The sequence below is a fragment of the Homo sapiens genome, chromosome 2 (genome assembly GCF_000001405.40).
Source record: "Homo sapiens chromosome 2, GRCh38.p14 Primary Assembly".
Lineage (NCBI taxonomy): Eukaryota > Metazoa > Chordata > Mammalia > Primates > Hominidae > Homo > Homo sapiens.
In genome coordinates, this window is record NC_000002.12 from 177,096,440 (window position 1) to 177,118,527 (window position 22,088).

Genomic DNA, 22,088 nt, shown 5'->3' on the forward strand with positions numbered 1-22,088 from the left:
TCCTACCAACTTTTCCACTGAATGATTTGTGCCAAAGTAACTCTGCATCTGATGCAATCTGAACCAGTATCATTGGGCATATCTTTGGACATATTTTTAATGTGATTAAGACACTTCAGCTCAGTCTAATAGCTTTCTTCGCCAAGGGTGTCTAAATGTTCTTAAGCTCGACAACTTTACTATCACCACTGCCATTTATTTGGATTGAGTTGGAAATTCATTTTGGCAACAATGTCTGATATTAGTCTGAGAGGCACAGAAGAAAACTTAATTTTACTATGCACCAAGTCTTACTTGCCATGAATTCAAGGTGCTTACACTGTTGATCCTAAATTATTGGACTACTTTTATTTTCAATTTGTCCAAAATTACTGAAAGAACAAAAAGCAAAATCCTATTTCCCACATTTTGATTATTCTCTACCTAGAAAGAGGATAAAAGATGCATTCAGGGTTTCCAAAATAGTATTGGGGGACTTTATCTTGCTATAGGACTAGTCCACACAGAAGATGTTTTAGCCCCTAAACATCTGCCTAACAAAGTATCATAGACTGGGTGACTTAACAGAAATGTATGGTCTCACAGTTCTGGAGGCTGGAAGTCCAAAATCAAGGTGCCAGCAGGGTTGGTCCCTTCTGAGGGCTCTGAAGGATCTGCTCCAGGCCTCTCTTGGCTTGCAAATGATGGTCTTCACGTTCACCTGGCATTCTCCTTGTATGCATGTCTCCTTCTTTAAAGGACAACAGTAATATTGGATCAGAGCCCACCCTAATTATCTCATTTTAACATGATTATCTCTGTAAAGAGTCTATCTCCAAATACAACCACATTCTAGGGTATTTTGGTTAGGACTTTAATAAAATACAAATTTGGGGTTGGGGGCAACTCAACCCATAATACTCTTGTATTTTGCTTAAAAGTCCTGCCATAGATGGGATCCTTTGGGTAATGGCAGAAGTTAAAATTCAAGCTCCAGGGTCAAATTGCCTGGGTTCAAGCTCCAGATCTGCCCTTTGCTGGCTATGAGACTGAAAAGACGTCACTTAACCTCCCTAAATTCTGTTGTTTCTTCATCTGTAAAATGGAAATGATAATAGATCCTACACCACAGGATTGCTGAAGGGATTAAATGATCAATCCATATAAAGTGCTTAGCCTAGTGTCTGGCACAAAGTAAGTGCTCCTGATATGTTAGTTATCATTAACATGAATTATTATTAACCTAAAATCATACATTTAAACTGAAAAGTAAAGCTCACTGACCCAGTCGTAGGAGAAGACACTTTCTATCTTTCCTCTCCAACCAACTTACAGGCCCCTCCACTTATGGCTGTATTTTAGATTAACAAGGACTCCCAAGACGAAGCGCTCAGGTTCGTTTTGTCCTATCAAGTCCTATCAAGGACTTGTTAGATTATAGAATTATAATGGCTGATTCCCATTTTACTCCACCCCTTAATGCCAACAGATTAAGAGGCAGAGCTGAGGTCAGTTTCTTTACTGACTAAATGTTCCTCTTTACATTGGGACCCTCTATCAGGGATGTCCAATGTTTTGGGTTCCTGAGCCACGTTGGAAGAAGCAGATTTGTCTTGGGCCACCTATAAAATATGCTAACACTAGCAATAGCTGATGAGCTTTTTAAAAAATTCATAATGCTTTAGGAAAGTTTATGAATTTGTGCTGGGCTGAATTCAAAGCTGTCCTGGGCTGCATGTGGCCCACAGACCACGGGTTGGACAAGCTTGCTCTATAATGAGGCATTCTGCATCATAGCTTCCCTCCCACAACATCCATTTTCCATATCTAAGCAAGTCAGCTCTATTCTGCATTTCCTGTTTTTAAGCAGTTCATATTTCTCTTTTATTCAGCGAAAATTAGATTACCAATTGTTTTGGCTGTTGTTGCATTTTTTCCCAAACCTTCATTTACAAATTCATTAATATTCATGAAGGAGTTTATATATTAAATTTACATAAGTATGAGATAAGAGAGAACTCTCTGCTCCTAAGATTCTAGTCTTATGCTAGAAGACTCTATGGCTTGCTATAAATATCTGTTTTTATTGTTTTGCTTTCATGTCTGGCTTATCTCCTACCTTCTTGTGGAGCCAGAAATAGAAATAACTGCTTAAGGTGATAGACACCCCAATTACCCTAATTTGATCATTACACATTGTGTGCTTGTGTCAAAAGATCACATGTTCCCCATAAATATATATGCCTATTATATATCCATAATAATAAAAAAATTATAAATAAAATAATTTTTTTAAAACAAAACTAAGACAAACTTTTCAAAAATAAAAAATAAAAAGACCCATGTTCTGGGATGGGACTCTGACCACACCAACAAGCCTCCTTCTCTGGTGCATCTCAGGAAAGGGTGAAATTAGTTCACATAAACACCACTCAGCCTGACCAGGTCAGAAGATGTGTTTCCTGAAAGTCTAAACCTTCATTAAAGTATCCAGGACTATATTATAACTTTCTTGGGCTCCTTCCTACACAAAAAAGTAAAGAAATAAAACTATATTTTACAACTCATTGGTGTAAAGATGAATATATTAATGCTATATATCAAAACATTTTATTTGACCTAAAAGTTCATTTTTTTTCTTCTTATTTTAAAAGAAATTAAAACAGGCTGTGTGCGGTGGCTCCTGCCTGTAATCCCAGCACTTCGGAAGGTTGAGGTGGGCAGATCATTTAAGGTCAGCAGTTCGAGACCAGCCTGGCCAACATGGTAAAACCGTGTCTCTACTAAAAATACAAAAATTAGCCAGGTGTGGTGGCGTGCGCCTGTGCTGGGCACTTGTGGTCCCAGCTGCTTGGGAACCTGAGGCAGGAGAATCGCTTGAACCCCAGAGGTGGAGGCTGCAGTGAGCTGAGATCCCGCCACTGCACTCCAGCCCGGGTGACAGAGTGAGACTCCAGCTCAAAAATAAATAAATAAATAAATAAATAATAAGAGAAATTAAAACAATTTCATAAGCCTCTAAAAGCATTGTAGGCCCAAGACGCTTTGTCTACTATGCCAATTAGATGTTAGCCCGCATCTAACTATATAGTATTTGATATACTATGTCAAATATATAGTATACTATATATATATGATATACTATACTATATACTATATAGTATTTGATATTAGGCCAAGTTGTCATAAACCCCAATCTAAGGTTCCTAGTTGCTAAATATGTTAACCAACTAATTATAAGGCATTAAAGATGCACTTGACTTTTATAACCCTCTATTACTAACCACAACATACAAGGAAAAAGCTCTGCATTTCTGCATACAGTTAGAGCAAGGATTACATAACTCTTAGCACATACTCATACTTATCATATCACTGTTTTAAAGCAGCCAGAGATTTGTTCTCTCTGAATCTCCTTTGTAGATATTTAGATGTATAAAATAGCATTTGCTGCTTTTTAAAGTATGTCTTTCACAAATCAGTTACTGATAAAGGAAGAAAGAAAATTAACATTCGCTGAGAGCATACTATATATCAGGCACTGTCTTGGGTGCCTCCACATGTATAGTCCAGGGAGATGAAGATTATTACCCTGTTTTTATATGTAAGGAAACTGATACTAAGTAACATGTTTAAGATAACAGAATTCAGTAATGGTAGAGCTAGAATTCAAAATCAAGTTATTTTGATTTCAAAGTCAATGCAGTTTCTACTACATCAACTAGATTAATTATATGGAATTATATATATATATAAGTGTTTTGGGGTAAAAAGATTTAGAATAACTTCATTTTAAAAGAGAAATTAACCAAAGGCCAAGCACAGTGTCTCACATCCGTAATCCCAGCACTTTGGGAGGCCAAGGTGGGAGGATTGCTTGAGCCTAGGAGTTCAAGACCAGCCTGGACAACATGATGAAACCCCCTGCAAAAAACACAGAAGTTAGCCAGGCATGATGATGCATGCCTGTAGTGCAGCTACTCAGAAACTGAGGCAGCAGGATCACTTGAGCCCAGGAGGTCAAGCCTGCAATGAGCCATAATCGCACCCCCGCACTCCAGTCTGGGTGACAGAGTGAGACCCTGTTTCAAAATAAATAAATAAATAAATAAACAAAATGTAACCATTTTCTTTCCTTCCCCCCCCTCTTTTTTTTTTTGAAACAGAGTCCTCACTCTGTCACCTAGGCTGCAGTGCAGTGATATAATCATAGCTCACCGCAGCCTTGAACTCCTGGGCTTAAGCGATCCTCCCACCTCAGCTTCCCGAGTAGTTGGGACTACAGGTGAATACCACCAGGCCCAGCTGATTTTTTATTTTTATTTTTTTGTAGAGATGAGGTCTCACTATGTTGCCCAGGCTGGTCTAGAATTCCTGGCCTCAAGCCATCCTCCTGCCTCAGCCTCCCAAAGTACTGGGATTACAGGTATGAGCCACCATGCCTGGCCACCATTTTCAAATTAAGTCAGTTATCAGGCAAAATCATGTCATCTAACAGGATCACAATTTTTGAACCAGAAGGTGCATTAGAAGACATGCCTAGCTCAACTCCTTCATATTCTGGATAAAGAAATCCCAAAAGGACTTGTGACATTGCCAGGATCACATAGAGAGAAGTGTACCTACAATCATTGCTCTCACTAAACACAAAAAGCAAAGAATAAATTATCTATACTTAGTAAAATTAAAAAAGAAGAGAGTTACATGAACAGAAAGTTATTCTGAACCATTTTTCATGGTTCACGCTGCTGCTAAATTGATCTTTTTTTAATCCATCAAATGAACTTTTCTTTCCATCATCATATGCCCCAAATGAAGACCAAGAAAGTCAATTTCATACAACGTTTTGAATTGGTGGAGGCAACTGTGGGCTTCAGTAATCAAGGCCAACTCTTGTAAGCTACAGAAACCCAGCTGGACTTTGAAAGATGGTAGCAGTTGAACTTACATAGCAGAGTGCTTTTAGATGATCAGAACAAAGCCATGGATGAAATTGGTATTTGCTCTGAGCTTTAAAAATCTAGAAAGCAGTTTCATAAACCCTTCCTCCATTATATCATACAAACCTGTAAATATTTTTAAAAAACAAATATATATGTGACTGTTTTTCAGCTAAAAATAAATACTTGTAAAAGTGCAAACAACACAGAGGTATATAGAGTAGAAAGTAAAGGTTTTCCTTAATCTTCTTCATGAATTTCATATACTTTCAGGTGTTTTATAATGCATTTACACACACACACACACACACACAGAGAGAGAGAGAAACAGCCCTGGCATATCAAGAAAAGAAAAGCTGGGGCAGGTGGGGTGTATCGGGGGAGATTGATTAGAAATAGACATGGCTGGCCAGGCGCAGTGGCTCAGGCCTGTAATCCCAGCACTTTGGGAGGCTGAGGTGGGTGGATCACCTGAGGTCAGGAGTTCAAGACCAGCCTGACCAACATGGAGAAACCCTGTCTCTACTAAAAATACAAAAATTATCCGGGCATGGTGGCGCATGCCTGTAATCCCAGCTACTTGGGAGCCTGAGGCAGGAGAATCACTTGAACCTGGGAGGTGGAGGTTATGGTGAGCTGAGATCAGGCCATTGCACTCCATCCAGGCTGGGCAACAAGATTGAAACTCTGTCTCAAAAAAAAAAAAAAAAAGAAAAGAAAAAGAAATAGATGTGGCATCAACTAAAAGGAGAGAAACTTTGGGGAAATAACTGAGATGTTTAAGAATGAATTAAAATATTTTATTTTCTGATAGGCAGTGTAACCCATACATCAGCATTGGAGATGAAGCTGTATTATGTGTTTGATTTGGAACAGAAAATAAGGGAGGCAAGGTTGAAGATAACAGTGAAAGTCCTCTAGGTGGGTTCTAGGTGAGAGCAAAGCCATCCAAAGAGCCCAGTTACTTTGGGTAAAATCGATTATAGAAATTGAAAGAAACAAGACTGTCAAGTACCTCAATCCCCAAGCTAAAGAATTTGGAAGTTTCTTTCCCTAGGCAATGAGAAGTCATTGTGGGCTGTTGAGCAAGAAATGATACAACATAATTAATGTTTTAGGAAGATTCATCTGGCAGCAACGGGCAGGAGATAAACTCTGAAGTAATAGAGGCCAATTAAGAGGTTACTGGATCCTTAAGGCATATATTCTCAAGGAAATCATCTTAAGGTGAAAGGTTTATATTCAAGTGTTTTTGCCACAGTGTTATAAAAGCAAAAAAAAGTGTTTAAAACATGCAAACAACCCAAATATCCAAAAACTGGAAGGTCATTAAGTAAATAATGGTATTTGAAGCAATTAAAAATAATGTTTTTGAAAAATATTTATTGACATGGAAAATGCTGGTAATGCAAAGTTTAGTGAAAACACTGACACAAAACTGAATATGAGTTTGACCCCAATTATATAGAGGATTTCCTAAGGACACTGTTGTGATTATCTTGCCTTAGGAAAAGACTATTAGTCATAATGAACATGTTTTAGTCTATAAAGCTCTGCTTTGAGTAAATAAATTAGAGAAAACTTTCATGTATCAACATGACTTGGCTAAGGAACATTTTGACTTTTATTATTGGTGCAGGTTTATCTTCCTAAGCATAAGAAAGGAGATGAATTAATAATAATTGCACTCCACTTCTCTAAGTAGGTTTTAGGATTAAAAAGCCCCAAGAAAAGTAAGACCCACTTCGGATGTAATGACACTGAACCAGTCGGGAGCAAACGTCAGATCATAGACCCCCTACAATGCTGATGTTTAAAAACAAAACCAAAAATTACACATTCATTCCATTTGGAAAGAAAAAAATTAAAGTAGTAGCAGTGGTTATTCCTGGGAAATGACACTATGGATGATTGTTTCATTGTTACATTAATAAGTTTACATCATTTTGATAATTAGGGAACTGTTTGGTTAATTGGGTTCATTTGTTTGTTTAATAAAGGAGCAAGTGATTAAGACTGTGACATGCAAAAGCAGAGAAACAAGAAAAGAAAAGAAAGGATACAGCAGTGCCTTCTGATTCAGGATATAAAGATGATAAAACATAGTTTACAGTGTACATGGACTTCATAGACTTTTCTACTAAAGCGGAATATACACATTAAAGAAACCTAAGTATTAGGTAACTTTCTTGGACTTTCCCAGAGAAAGTTTACTTTATGGTAGTGGTCCCCAATCTTTTTGGCGTCACAGACTGGTTTCGTGGAAGAGAATTTTTCCACAGACCGGGCTGGGATATGGTTTGGGGTTGATTTAAGCACATCACAATTATTGTGCACTTTATTTCTATTATTATTACATTATAATATATAATGAAATAATTATACAACTCACCATAATGTGAAATCAGTGGGAGCCCTGAGCTTATTTTCCTGCAACTAGATGGTGAGAGACAGTGACAGATCATCAGGCATTAGATTCTCATAAGGAGCGCACAACCTATTGTGTGCAGGTCACAGTAGGATTTGAGCTCCTGTCAGAATCTAGTGACGCCGCTGATCTGACAGGAGGCAGAGCTCAGGCCACAATGCAAGCGATGGGACGTGGCTGTAAATACAGATGAAGCTTTGCTTGCTCACCTGCTGCTCACCTCCTCCTGTGTGGCTTGGTTCCTAACAGGCCAGGGACCAGTATCGGTCCATAGTCAGGGTGTTAGGGACCCCTGCTTTATGGGATAAAGTAAAAAAGTGAAAAAAGTGCAGTACATTCTCTCTACCAAAGCTTCCCAAAAAACATCTAAGATGGCTTTCAATTGACACTACTAGTATGGTAGTACAATAGAGGAGCATTTCAAGATATCTTTTTTATTTTTATTTTTATTTTTTGAGACGGGGTCTTGCTCTGTCTCCCAGGCTGGAGTGCAGTGGCAGGATCTCGGCTCACTGCAAGCTCCGCCTCCCGGGTTCACGCCATTCTCCCGCCTCAGCCTCCGGAGTAGCTGAGACTACAGGCGGCCACCACCACGCCCAGCTAATTTTGTTTTTGTATTTTTAGTAGAGACGGGGTTTCACTGTGTTAGCCAGGATGGTCTCAATCTCCTAACCTCATGATCTGCCCACCTCGGCCTCCCAAAGTGCTGGGATTACAGGAATGAGTCGCAGCGCCCGGCGTTTTGTTTTGTTTTTTTTTTGTAAATCTCACTCTGTTGCCCAGGCTGGTGTGCAGTGGTGCAATCACAGCTCACTACAGCCTCGACCTCCCAGGTTCAAGAGATCCTCCCACCTCAGCCTCCCAAGTAGCTGGGACTACAGGCAGGCACCACTATGCCTGGCTAATTTTTTAATTTTTGTAGAGATAGGATCTCACTATGTTGTCCAGGCTGGTCTCCAACTCCTGGGCTCAAGTGATCCTCTCACTTCCCAAAGTGCCAGGATTATAGACATGAGCCATCTTGCCTGACCTACAATTTTGATTACTAGTCCAAAACAGGCAAACACAAATAAAAAAGGAAAATTACACAGTATTACTGTGACATTTTTGAAGGACACTGAGTGCAGATTCGTTCTTTTCTTACACAAGTTTTCAAATCATCATTCTATAGATCTTAGCACTGCAGCTACTTCATAAATGCTAACAGGACGATAAAATTACTTTAACAATATTTACTAAGTAAGATGGAGTCTCCTACACTATCAGTCTATTCTCCATTTTCAGTCAATATAGTCAACAGGTAAATTCCCTTTTGTCATAAAATTTCTATTTCTATTCTTTCCATCATTAAACCAAGTGGTAATGAAATGACAATTTATAGTCCCTGCTGTCACCAGGAATAATCTAATCCTTGCTGCCCACAGTCTTTATGCAGAAATGACAGAGGCCTTCCTTCCAGCCCCAACTTCCCCCAGAATAAATGGACACTTAGGGATCACCCAGAGCTTGCTGTCAACTCTAACAAGAATTTCCCTGGATAATTATGTAAAGCTCAACAACAGTGTAGTAAATAAAATTAAATATAAATCAGATATATTTATACTTCCACTAATTAAAAGTAACAACTAAGAAAAGTTTATACCACAATCTATGGAGCATTGGTTTCTGTATTAGCAAAAGATGCATAATAAGAACATAACAAGAGACTAACAAATTTCACATTGTATGTTTGCTTCTTTCAGTTTGGGACATGTTGATGTATTTTAAAATTTCACACTAGAAGGAATAGTCCTCCTAATTTGTTTATGGACCTCTGCATCACTAGCTGACCTGAAACTGGTAGATCAAACTTCCTGTGGCCCATTGACCTTAGAAAAAAATTATTTAGTAAATATTTATTAACCAACTACTCTCTCACATGCACTATTAAATAAATAAGTGCTGGAAATGATTTATATCACCAGTAGAAATTTAGAAACCACTAATTCGTTTTCTGACTCTTAGCCATTAGACATTCTTCCTCAAAGCCTTCTCTACTCAATGAGATGAAAAGGAGTAATATGTAAGTATTAAAAGTTATTAACATAATGCTTTTAATTTACTCATATTTCATGAATTCTATTTTCAAACACAAAACCTAAGAATATATATATAACACTGCTAAACTTCAAAACAGTAATGTGCCAATTAATACATGTTCCAAAAGTTCTTTTAGTATACCAAATTCTAATACACCTGCATGTTCAGCAGCATGATGATATACACTGGGTGCTCTCTAGTTGTACCGAAAATCTTCTGGTACAAATATGGCTGTAAGCTGAGTTTCCCCAGTCCTCCCCAACCTGTGAATACAAACGGAATCACACTAATAATAAGAACCCAAATTCTATTGGCTCTTGTCGCCACCTAGCAGAACCTCAGCACCTTATAAAAGAATTTCTCAAGTGCTTCTGGAAGTTGAGGTGCTCTCTGAAGTCAGTTGCTCTCTAAAGTCAGGTGAATTCAGGTGTGCTCGTGAATACTCCCACTCTGGCAGGGCATCTCCTATGACTCTCTCCAGCATCCATGTCACCAGATACTACTATCCCATTACCCACATGCACTCTCTGCCAGGAGACACTGCTGGTCTTCTGCCACCAGAGGTGCTAAAGATGTGTGGTGGGATAGAGACATTGCCTGAGCTCTGCCTAATGTTGACTAACATGGACATGACAACCCACTCAAAGGTACCAAACTCATGATGTTTCTGTGACTTTGTTCTACAAAATCTTAGATTTTGTTTGTGGTTTAATTTTTACAGGCAACTTGCTCCTCACGGTAACCAGACCTCTATTACTGGTCAGTGGTGCCTGGCTCTTCCTCTCTTCAGTATCTTTGGAGGCTCCTCAGTACCTTTCACAAATATTTTACTTTAGGTGCTGGCCCATGCATCTATTAGATGTATGTACACATATTCAACGCATACTAGTTTCCTCTAGAGAAGGTCTCTTTAATCAAGATTTGGGGTTTATTATTTTGAGAGAGATAATTTTTTGATTACAGCAAGTCATTATATTTCTTCACTAGTTATATAATTTTACCAAAATAATTTAAAGTATGAAATCCTACTCTCACATAGTAAATGAATACCTGAAACCAGGCAAACAGAAACACTTATATTTAATGGTGTCATAAGTGATTTGCAAAATATTTTAATTCATTGGTAACCCTTTGGGCTCTTACTCAAAAGGAAAGAAAAAGAAACTTAGAAATTAATAACATACACAAGAGTTCTGTTTCACCTGATAATTTTTACCTGGCTAAATGCAAGTACAAGAAGTAATTGATAGTGGGTCTCAGGCTGTTTTTCTCTGCTGAGCTCTTTATTTCTATACACTTATTCCCCAACATGCACAGTGGTTTTCTAACTGGTTATCAATCTTAGCAATGGCAGGTAGCCTTTCCATTCTGCTATTGTTTGAATGTGTCCCCCAAAGTTCACGTGTTGGAAACTTAATCCCCAATGCAACAATGTTGGGAAGTGGGTCCCAATAAGAAGTGATTTCGGTCATTATGAGGGCTCTGCCCTCATAAATGGATTAATGTTGTTATTCTGGCAGTCGGTTAGTTATTATGAGAGTGAGTTGGATATAAAAGCAATTTTTGCCCCCTCTTGCCCTCTAGAAATCTATTCCCCTTCCACCTTGCACCAGGGGATGACACAGCAAGAAGACCCTTGCAAGATGTCAGCTCCTCAACCTTGGACTTCCCAGCCTCCAGAACTGTAAGAAATAAATCTCTGTCCTTTATAAATTACTCAGGTATTTTGTTACAGCAGCATAAAATGGACTAAGATGCATACTACAGTTTAAGATCAAGAGTCCTGAAACATGATACCAATCCTTGCTTTATCCCCTCACTTGTTTCAGCACTCCCTGATTCTGGTGAATATGTCTGGGCTGCTTGTTAGCAAGAAATCCTAATTCCATTGCAAAGCAGAATCTCCACTCCTTCCATTCTCAAAGTCTTGGTTCACGTTTTGAGAGGTGGCATAACACTGCAGTCGAGAGCATGCACCATGGAAACAGATCACCCAGGCTCCACTCCCGGCTTCCCCACTTATCAGTTGGGCGACCATGGGCAAGTTACTTAAACTCTCTAAACTCCAGTTTTCTCATTATTGGAAGGGGGTGGTAATAATAATAGAAACTTCCTTAGGGTTGTTGTTAGGATTAAATGAGTAATACCTGTAACGAAATTAAAGCTATTCTGCTGAGGATGTGAGGCAGCAAAGCAAGCAAGGTTTTTTAATGGTATACTAAATACCATTATCTTACCCTAAATTTAAAAGCACTCTCTGGATATGTGGTCAGTGGCTGAGAGACATTGAGCAAGTATCTCCCTAAACCTCTGTCTCTTTATCTATAAAATGGTACTAATTGAAATAAAAACATGTAATTTACTTGGCAATTACCTAACATGCAGTAAACATTAATATTAGCTCTTATGTCATCTGTAAAAATAATCTGTAATTATGTCTGCTTTACTGGGATATTGTAATAAGATAACATAGGTAAAGTACTAGCATAATGATTTAATATTTATTAACCAAAGGATTAATATATAGTTTTCTTTTTCTCCACACTTGCCTTTTTTTCCTTTTGAGGCAGGGTCTCACTCTGTCACCCAGGCTACAATACAGTGGCATGATCACAACTCACTGAAACCTCAACCTCCCAGGCTCAAGCAATCCTCCCACCTCAGCCTCTCCAGTAGCTGGGACCACAGGCATGTGCCTCCACACCTGGCTAATGTGTAAATTTTTTGTAGAGATGGGGTCTCCCTGTATTGCCCAGGCTGGTCTTAAACTCCTGGGCTCAAGTGATCCTCTTGCCTTGGCCTCCCAAAGTGCTGGGATTACAGGCATGAGCCACCATACCCAGCTTCCACACTTGCCTTTTAAAGACCATAGGATTACTGATCATTTTTTCCTGAATTGCTTTTACTTTTCCTTCCTTTGACAGCTATACCTGGAGGTTTGAGCAATGCAGAGAACCTATGATTATATAAACTTTGTCTATTACCAACACCCTCCACAAACCTACCATTGATAAGCAAGTCTTTATTGAATGTGAAGATTTATCAGGGTAATTCTAGTTCAAAAAAAGTAGTCGAGTTTCTGGCAATATAGCTGACCAAGTATTAGGACCAATCTTCCCAACTAATGACTAAAAATGCTGGATAAAATATAAAAACATCTTCAAGAAGGCATCCATATGAAAGCAAAAGAGAAAGCAGTACCTAAGAAAGCAACACTGAATCAGCTATATTCTCAGGGCATTTGCCGAACTCAGTGAACTTGAGCATAGAGTTTTATGCTCTGGAGACAGAAGACACAACTCAGGGACCACCCAAGTTGGAGTATCCTATATTAGAATCCTCATAAAACAGGGGCCCAAAGGCATACACTCAATGAAAGAGGGCACTAAAATAAACTATCCACTTTCACCCCTGCTGGAAATTGCATGGAAAACTAACAGTCTCAAAACTTGGCAGTGTGTAGAGTGGGGGAAAATTATACCCTAAGAATTTGTAACCAAAAGCTGACCCTCACACAAGTTTGCACAGAAATTCACACTTTTGAAGCAATCTAAAAAAAATTTTTCTAACATGAAGTCAATATTATGCAAAGGGGTCTTAAGCTAGTATATCCCAGGTACCTAACAAAAGCAAATGTAAATCCTTGTAAGAAAAGGATTTTCCTACAAGGATTGTCCCCTTTCATTTCAGGACACAAAATATCTTCATGGATAAAATTTCAAGGAAAACTAAACAACTCAAATGTCAAAATTAGTAATACACAGGAGTCAATGTTATAAGTGAGAACCAGCAGGAAAAAAAAAGATAGCAAAATAGGACCCAAAAAATGTTAGATACTTGAATTATCAGATACAGAGTATTAAAAAGTATGTTTAACATGTTTAATATCAGAAACTTTAAAAAGTAGCAATTGAAATTGAGCACTCAGTTGACAGATTTAACAACAGATAAAACATAGCATAATAGAGAGAATTAGTCACTAGAAGATAAAAAGAAATTATCAAGAATGAAGATCAAGGAGACAAAAGAACTTAAACATTGAAAGGAGCACAGATAAATTGAACTTTATCAAAATTTAAAAACACTTTTTTGTATCAAAGGACATTAGCAAGAAAGGGAACAAGCAACCTACAGAATGGGTGAAATATTTAGAAATCATAATTTGATAAAGGCCTAATATCCAGAATATACAAATAATTCCTACAATTCAATAGAAAAAAAAAAAAGACAAAAAAATTTAAAAACATGCAAATCAGGAGGCTGAGGCTACAGTGAGCCGTGATGGTGCCACTGTCCTCCAGCCTGAGTGACAGAGTGTGAGCCCATCTCAGAAACAAAAAAAGGGGGGATGGCGCAAAGGACTTGAATAGACATTTCTTCAAACATATACAAATGGCCAATAAACATATGAAAAATCACTAACTATATTTCCAACAACCAACAACATAAAAAATAAAATGACAATTTGAAAACAAAATAAGCAGATGCGCAACATCATTAGTCATCAGGGAAATTCAATCAAAAGGACAGTGATATGCCACTTCACATCTACTAGAATGGCTACACATCTACTAGAATGGCTACAGTTTTAAAAACCGAAAATAACAATGTTAACAAGGATGTGGTGAAATTGGAACCCTCACACATTGCTGGTAGAAATGTAAAATGATGCAGCAGCTATAGAAATATTTGACAGAGGCTGGGCACGGTGGCTCACGCCTGTAATTCCAGCACTTTAGGAGGCCAAGGCGGGCGAATCACCTCAGGTCGGGAGTTCAAGACCAGCCTGACCAACATGGAGAAACCCCGTCTCTACCAAAAATACAAAATTAGTCAGGCATGGTGGTGCATGCCTGTAATCCCAGCTGCTCCAGAGGCTGAGGCAGGAGAATGGCTTGAACCCGGGAGGCGGAGGTTGCTGTGAACCAAGATCACACCATTGCACTCCAGCCTGGGCAACAAGAGCAAAATTCCGTCTCAAAAAAAAAAAAAAAAATTTAACAGAACATTTTTCCTCAAAAAGCTAAACATAGAATTATCATATGAACCAGCAATTCCACTCCTAGTTATATACACAAGGGAACTGAAAGCAGGGACTGAAACACATATTTGTAGGGCAATGTTCACTGCAGCATTATTCATAATAGCCAAAAGTTGGAAATAACCCATATATATGTGTATATATATATATGGACAGAGAGAGAGACAATAATAAAAAGGAATGAATTTTTGATATATGCTACAACATGAATCTTAAAACCATTATACTAAGTAAAATAAGCCAAGCCCAAAAGGACAAATATTGCATGATTCCACTTACATGAAATATCTAAAATAGTTGAATTTATAGAGACAGAAAGTAAATTAAAGATTTCCAGGAGCTGGAAGGAGTGGGTAATGGGAAGTTATTGCATAATGGTTTCAGAATTTTCATCTAAGAAAAATTTTGGAAATTGTGGTGATGGTTGTCCAACATTGTGACTGTAATTAATGCCACTGAATTGTACATCTAAAAATAGTTAAAATAAAAAATTGTGTGTTATATATACTTTAACATAATTTCTAAAAATTAACAATGAAATAGATCAAAAGCCATTAAATAGTACACTTTAAGTGAGTGAACTGTATGGTATGTGATTTATACATTAATAAATTTTTTAATGGAAAGAAAGCTTATATTCATTAAGGTAGTAAGCTAGATTGCAGAAACAGATAAACCCAAAACACAACATTACTCAAACCAAAATAGAAGTTTATTATTACTCTGTCACATAACAGTCCAAGTTGAGCGTTCCTGGTCTGTGAGTACTTCTCTCCCTGCAGTGGTTCAGTGACTGCAGCTCCCTCCATCCATCTGAAGACTCTGCCATCCTCTGAGCCTGAGGCCTCCATATTGTCTGTATTCAGCTAACATTAGGGGAAAGAGCATAAAGGGGACACATTACTTCCTAAAAGCCTTGGCCTGAAAATGTTCATGCACATGGCCACACAAAGATGTAAGGAAGGCTGGAAAATGTAGGCTTTAAATGCACTTAAAAGATTATGATATTAGAGTAAGACAGGCTAACTTATGTCTAAACAGAGTTCCAAAACATAAGAAAGGAGTGAGAAGGAGGTGGCAGCAATAGTTGAGGAGATTATGACTAAGAACTTTCCACAACTGATGAGAAAAAATAACCCATAGATTCAAGATTTCTACAAATCCCAAATAGGAAAAATAAAAAGAAATTCACACCTAAGTACATCATAGTAAAATCACAGAATCTAAAGACAAAGATATACTAAAAGCAGCCGGAGAAAAAAAGATAGATTACCTTAAAGACAGTGAGACTGACAGCTGACTTCACCAATAACAATGTAATCAAGAATGGAGTAGAATAACATATGCTGAGAAAATAATTATTAACTTGGTAATCTATATACAGTAAATTATACTTTTTAAGAGAACAAATTAAGAAGACATTTTTATGACAAATAAAGACGGAAAACATCTTCCATTAGCACACCCTCACTAAAGATGTTTGCAAAGGAATAAAGAGAAAAAAAAGCAGTAAATATTTAAAAAGTTAACTACATAAAACACAATATTATGCGGGGTTAAAAAACACGATAGAATGAAAATACATAACAACAATAGCACACAAGGCATAATTGAATTTAAAGTGTTCTAAGTCTTATATTATTGGGGAGACCATAAAGCAACTAATGAATTAAGCATGCAAGCTAAAATTTTTTATACCACTGAAACACAGAAACAAAAGGTATAACTTCCAAACTAGTAGAGAAAAAAATAGAATATGAAAAAATATAATCAATTCAGAAAAGGACAAGGAAGAAGAAAATAAGTGGTATAGAAAATGTGGAAAAAATATAAAACATAGAAGGCAGTAAAAACAAATCTAAATATGTCTACAATTATAATAAATATAAATAGACTAACTGCTTCAGTTGGAAGACAAAGTCAAGCCATTTTTTTTTAATCTTGCTTTATTCTGTTTATAAGAGACAAGTGTAAAGCTTAAGAATACAGGAAGATTGAAGATATTAAAGTAAAAATGTAGAGAAGAATGTACGAAGCAAATACTAAACAAAAGAAACCTGCCAGTTCCAGTAGACAAATGTATTTATAGACAAATAAATATTATTGAACACAAAGACAACCATGACCTAATTATTAAAATTTTAATCATCTGGGAGATATTAATTACATATTCATATATGTAATTATTCCTAATTACAGCCCCAAAATATATAAAGTAAAATTGACAGAACCACATGGAGAAACTGACATATTGAGAGATTTCAACACACTTTCAGAAACTGACTACTGAAACAAGGCATAAATACTAGTAGTTTTATAGAAGATTCAAACAACACAATAAATAAATGTAAACTAATGGGTATATATGAAACTGTCCTCAATGACTCAACACTGTTTTTTTCTTCTTTTTTTCTTTTTTATTTATTTATTTATTTTTTTGGTAGAGTCTCACTCTGTCACCCAGGCTGGAGTGCAGTGGCACGGTTCAAGCGATTCTCCTGCCTCAGCCTGCCAAGTAGCTGCGATTACAAGCACATGCCATCATGCCTGGCTATTTTTTTTGTACTTTTGTAGAGATAGGGTTTCACCATGTTGGGCAAGGTGGTCTTGAACTCCAGACCTCAAGTGATCTGCCTGCCTCAGCCTCCCAAAGTGCTATGATCACAGGAGTTAGCTACCACACCAGGCCTTCAATGACTCAAAATAAACATTTTTCCCAAGCATTCATGGAATATTTTAATCAAATGTTAAACTATAAAGCAGCTTCCAAAAATTAAAATATATGTATAAATATATATCTATATATTATAGCTTATAATATATATCTTATAAGATATATATTAATTATATAATTATATAAGATATATTATATATCTTATAAGATATAATATATTATATATAAATATGTATATAGTATCACACACAGACTGGGTTTCTGAAAAGATAAATAGTATCATACAGATCAAGCTCTCTGACCACAATGGATTTGCAACCCAAAAAAATACATAATTAGAAAAATCCCTATATGTTTGGAAATTTTAAAATGTCCTTCTAAATTACTTAAGGATCAAAGAAGATATCATAATGAACATCAGGAAACATTCAGACCTGATAACAAATAAAATATTACACATCAAAACTTACATTATAAGTGAAAGAAAGAAGCTAAAGGAAACTTAGAGGAAAATGTATAGCTTTAAATGTTCAAAGTATAAAAAAAGAAAATCTAATAAGTAATGAAAACTATATACATCTTAAGAAGTTAGTATAGGAAGAGCAGAATAAACCCAAAGAAAAGAGAAGGAAGGAAATAATAGAAATAAAAATTAATGGATAGGAAATAAAATATTTAATAGTCAAAAGTTGGTTCTCTGAAAAAGCTAGTAAAATTTACAAACTTCTTATAATAAGAAACAAGAGAGATGACCCCAAAATGAAAATTAAAATAGTATGGTTATGAAATGATAATATTACATAAATGTATGACATTAAAAGGGGGCATAAATTCTAATGCTAGAGACATAAGATAATTAGGAGATGTATGAGCATTATTCCAATAAACTTGAAAATGTAGCTGAAATGATTCCTATAAAATAGAATTTATTTAAACTGACTCAAGAAGAAAGCAAAAACTGAATGGTCCTATAACTCCTAAAGAAATTTAGTCATTAGTTTAAAATCTTTCCCTAAACGAAGGATGAGGTCCAGGAGAGTTTATTGATAACAACCATTCAAGAAACAATTTCAATTTTACGCAAACTGTATCAGATTATGGCAAAAAAAAAAAAAAAGATACTACTCAACGCATTTTCTAAAGCTAGTATAACCTCGATACCAAAATTCAACACTGACATTCAAAAGGAGGAATTTGCAGACCAATCTTACTCATGAATATAAATGCAAAAATCCCAGATAAAACACTAACGAACTGAATCCCTCAAAGTATTAAAATTACACACAGACACACACACACACACGCACGCACTATGGCCAAATGGGTTTATTCGGAAATCAAAGTGAATTAAAGAAGAAAAAAATATAACTGACTACATTAACTATTGAAAGAAAATCATATGACTATCTCAACAAATGCATAAAAAGCATTTGATAAAACTCCAACAATCCTTTATAGTAAAAATTTATAGTAAACTGTGAATTAAAGTGAACTTCCTTACTCTGATACTAGACATCTACCCAAAAATTTGCAGCAAACATCATATTCAATTTTGAAATTTTGAAAGCATTCCATTTAAATATCATAAGTAAGTTTCTGTACTATCTCTATCTACTTTGACGCAAGGTTATGCTGGATACTCAATACAGTACATACAAGAAAGCAAGGAAAAAAATAAAAGGTCTAAGGATTCAGAATGAAATAACAAATCTGTCATTATTCAAAATTGATATGATTTTCCATAAAGATAAATTATTAAAATTAAAAGTTAAATAAATATGCTAAAATAAAATCATTATTCAAAATTGATTGTATTTCTAGGCATCCATAATAAGCAGAAAAAATTTAAAAGACATTTATTATAGCATCAAAAATATGATGTGCTTAGGAATAAATCTACCAAAGATACACAAGACTTCAGGGAGAAAAGTACAAAACATTATTGAAAGATATTAAAGAAGACTTTAATTAATGAAGAGATATACAATGTAATAGGTATTTTTCAAGAAGGGATGGGAGCACAGAACCTCAGACCAATGGAGCAGCATAAAAAGTCCAGAAACAACCCCACACATAATTGCCATTTAACATATGACAGAGGTGCTGTTGAAGGTCAGTTGGAAAAAAATGCATTAAAAAAATAGTGCTGGAACAATTTGTTTCAATATAAAAAAAATTAAATTGACTCCTACCTCATGCAAAAAACAAAAATCAGTTCCAGATAAATTAAAGACCTAATGTGAAAGGCAAGAATGTAAAACTTTTGGAAGACGATATAGTAGAACACCTTTATGATTTCAAACTAAGGTAGCTCTTAAACCAGACATAAAAGATTTGTTATAAAGGAAATTATTGACTACATTAAAATCAATGTCTTCTGTTTATCAAAAAGCATTATAAATGGTGAAGGGACAAGTTCAAACTGAGAGATGATTGCTACATGCTAACAAAGTATTAAAATGCAAAAAATATTTTAAATGTTTGCAAATCAGTAGGAATGACAAACAACCAAGCAGAAAAATGAGGCATAAGTAGTCCGTAAACACAAGAAAAGATGTTCAAACTCATGGCAAATCAGGGAAATTATAACCACAAAAGACCATTCGAAAATTGCCAGACGTAAGAAGTGTGATGAAATTAACTGTTTATGAGGTTGAGGAGCAATGAGAATGCTCATACCCTGCTAGTGAGAATGTAAATTTGTACAGCACTTTTGGAAAACAGCATGACATTACCGAGTAAAATTAAATGTGCGTATTCAGGTACTCTATGATTCAATGTTCCCGCTCCTAAGTATATATCCTAGAGAAATCTTGTATATGTGTACCAGGAGACATGTAGAAGACAGTGTATAACAGTATTGTTTACAATGCAGAAAACTGGAAAAAACCTAAATGCATTCAACAGACTGGATCAATAAGCTGTGGTATATTTTCATAATAAAATATCATCGAGGCATAAAAATTAGTGAGCTACAGCTACAATCATCAGCATGGATGGATCTCAAAAATAAAATGTTAAATTAAAAGAAACAAGTCGCAGAAGAATATGTACAGTATGCTTTTATTTATGTCAAGTTCAGAAACAATCCAAACTAAACAATGCAATTTTTAGGGGCATAAATAGGTAGTAATGAGCATAAAGAAAAGTTAGGAAGGGATTAGCAAAGTTCAGAATCGTGGATAGTTTCAGGGAAGGAGAGGGACAAATTGCTTCTGGAATATGGTACCTGTAAAGTGTTATTTCTCAACCTGGATACTAGATCTAAAGTAATCCCTTTTCTTTTTCTTAAACTGAATGCATATATCTTTATACATTCTTCTGTATGCCTGCTATGTTTTATAGTAAAAAAAAGTTGTATAACATTTGCCTATAAAATATGTTTTATAACATTTGTCTGAATTTTCCGGACAAAATTTTTTTCTGAATTACAAGAATAATTATTTCAGTTTCCTCTTCTGGGGCTTGAAAAAGAGAGTCACAGAACTTGAGGTGTTCCCTATTACAAAATTCAAATAAGTACTTGTATGCACAATCCTTGTTTATTTAGCAATAGGTTTTAATTAGGCAATGTAGGTTCTCAGAGTCACTCAAAGTATACTCGAAAATTATATCATAGCCCTTTTATTCTTAATTGCATTCATGCTATCCAAGAAATAACACTGTAGAGCAGTGCTGTCCAATAGAAATATATCATAAGCCAACTATGTAATTTATTCTTTCTAGTAGCCACATTTCAACATCTGATCAATATTTTTTCTAATTATTAATGAAATATTTTACATTCTTTTCCCTCCTCAATTTTCAAAATTCAGTGTGTATTTTACACTTACAGCACATCTCGATCCGGACTAGCCACATTTCAAGTTCTCAACAGCCACATGAGGCTGGTGACTACCATACTGGACAGCACAGCCTTATAGTCTCCAGATAAATAATGATCCCCTTAGCTTCAACTTTAGAAGTTAGCAGGAGAGAACCACCCACCAAGCCTCGGGGTCTATTAGGTCTCCAAACTACAAGAAAGATTTCTAATTTTAGCATGAAGTAGAGGTAGGTACCTTATTCACACAGAACAATAGAACTGGTCATTTTTATCACATCTTTTCTCTTTATATCCCTGAATTTCCTCTGAATTAGGCCTAACAGGAACTTCTTGTAAACGGGAAATAATAATGCTTTGGAGTTCTTAAACCCATTTTCCTCAGGAATCTAAAAAATGTTAAGAATACTGGTTCATTAATCAACAGACTAACAACAGTCTAGACATACTCTGCCATTTAAATTTATGTATATTTAGAAAAATCAAGCCTTAGAAGAGAATGGCTAACATCCCATCTAGAAACAGAAACTGAACCAAGGTCTAAGATTCGGAGCCCCACGGCTCCCCTGAGCCGACACCCTGAGCACACATGTATGTTCCTTTGGGTTATTAGATTTTCTTTTGGTTCCAATCATTCACAGTTAATTCCTTATATTATTTCATATTTCACCCACTCTACTTCATTTCAATATTCTCCCACCCCTTAGTTGTCTGAAGGAACCAAATTTAATATGCTGAGTCTTGGCCTTAAATACTTAGTAATGTTTCCAAGAGGAAATATACAATTGCCAAAAGGTTTTGTTTCTTTATTTTTTAAAGACCAGTTATTAAAATTTCTGTAGAACGACTTTTGTAGCAATAAAAGCCAAATATTGACTAATTAACAGAGAACTAGAGAATGAGATCATCAATATTTATGGGATTTTTTCTTCTGATTAATTTTCAGTATTTTGCATGAGAAACCTGAGTTTTCTTAGTCAGTGTTGTTTAGTAAGTGTATTCATTTTCCAGTAGTAAGTACATAAAGGTGCCACTAATGAGAACCAAGCATTGACTTCCTGGGATTCATTTGAATGCTTATATACACACCATTTTTCCAATCTTTCCCTATTTTTTAAACTGTA

The 22,088-nt window shown here is 35.9% G+C and overlaps 1 long non-coding RNA gene across 3 annotated transcripts in view; it reads right to left on the bottom strand.

Moving 5' to 3' along the window:
- The window catches only part of LOC105373760 (uncharacterized), a 101,257-nt gene that overhangs the window by 32,186 nt on the left and 46,983 nt on the right, over positions 1–22,088 (bottom strand). The window contains exons 1-2 of one of the 3 annotated variants that reach the window (XR_923622.2): positions 7,312–7,350; positions 584–730 (exon numbers count right to left, since the gene is read on the bottom strand). This is a non-coding gene — a long non-coding RNA (uncharacterized LOC105373760). Of the gene's footprint in view, positions 1–583; positions 731–7,311; positions 7,351–20,974; positions 21,184–22,088 lie in introns of those variants that run through there. The other 2 variants (XR_001739795.1, XR_001739796.1) reach the window with 2 other exon arrangements.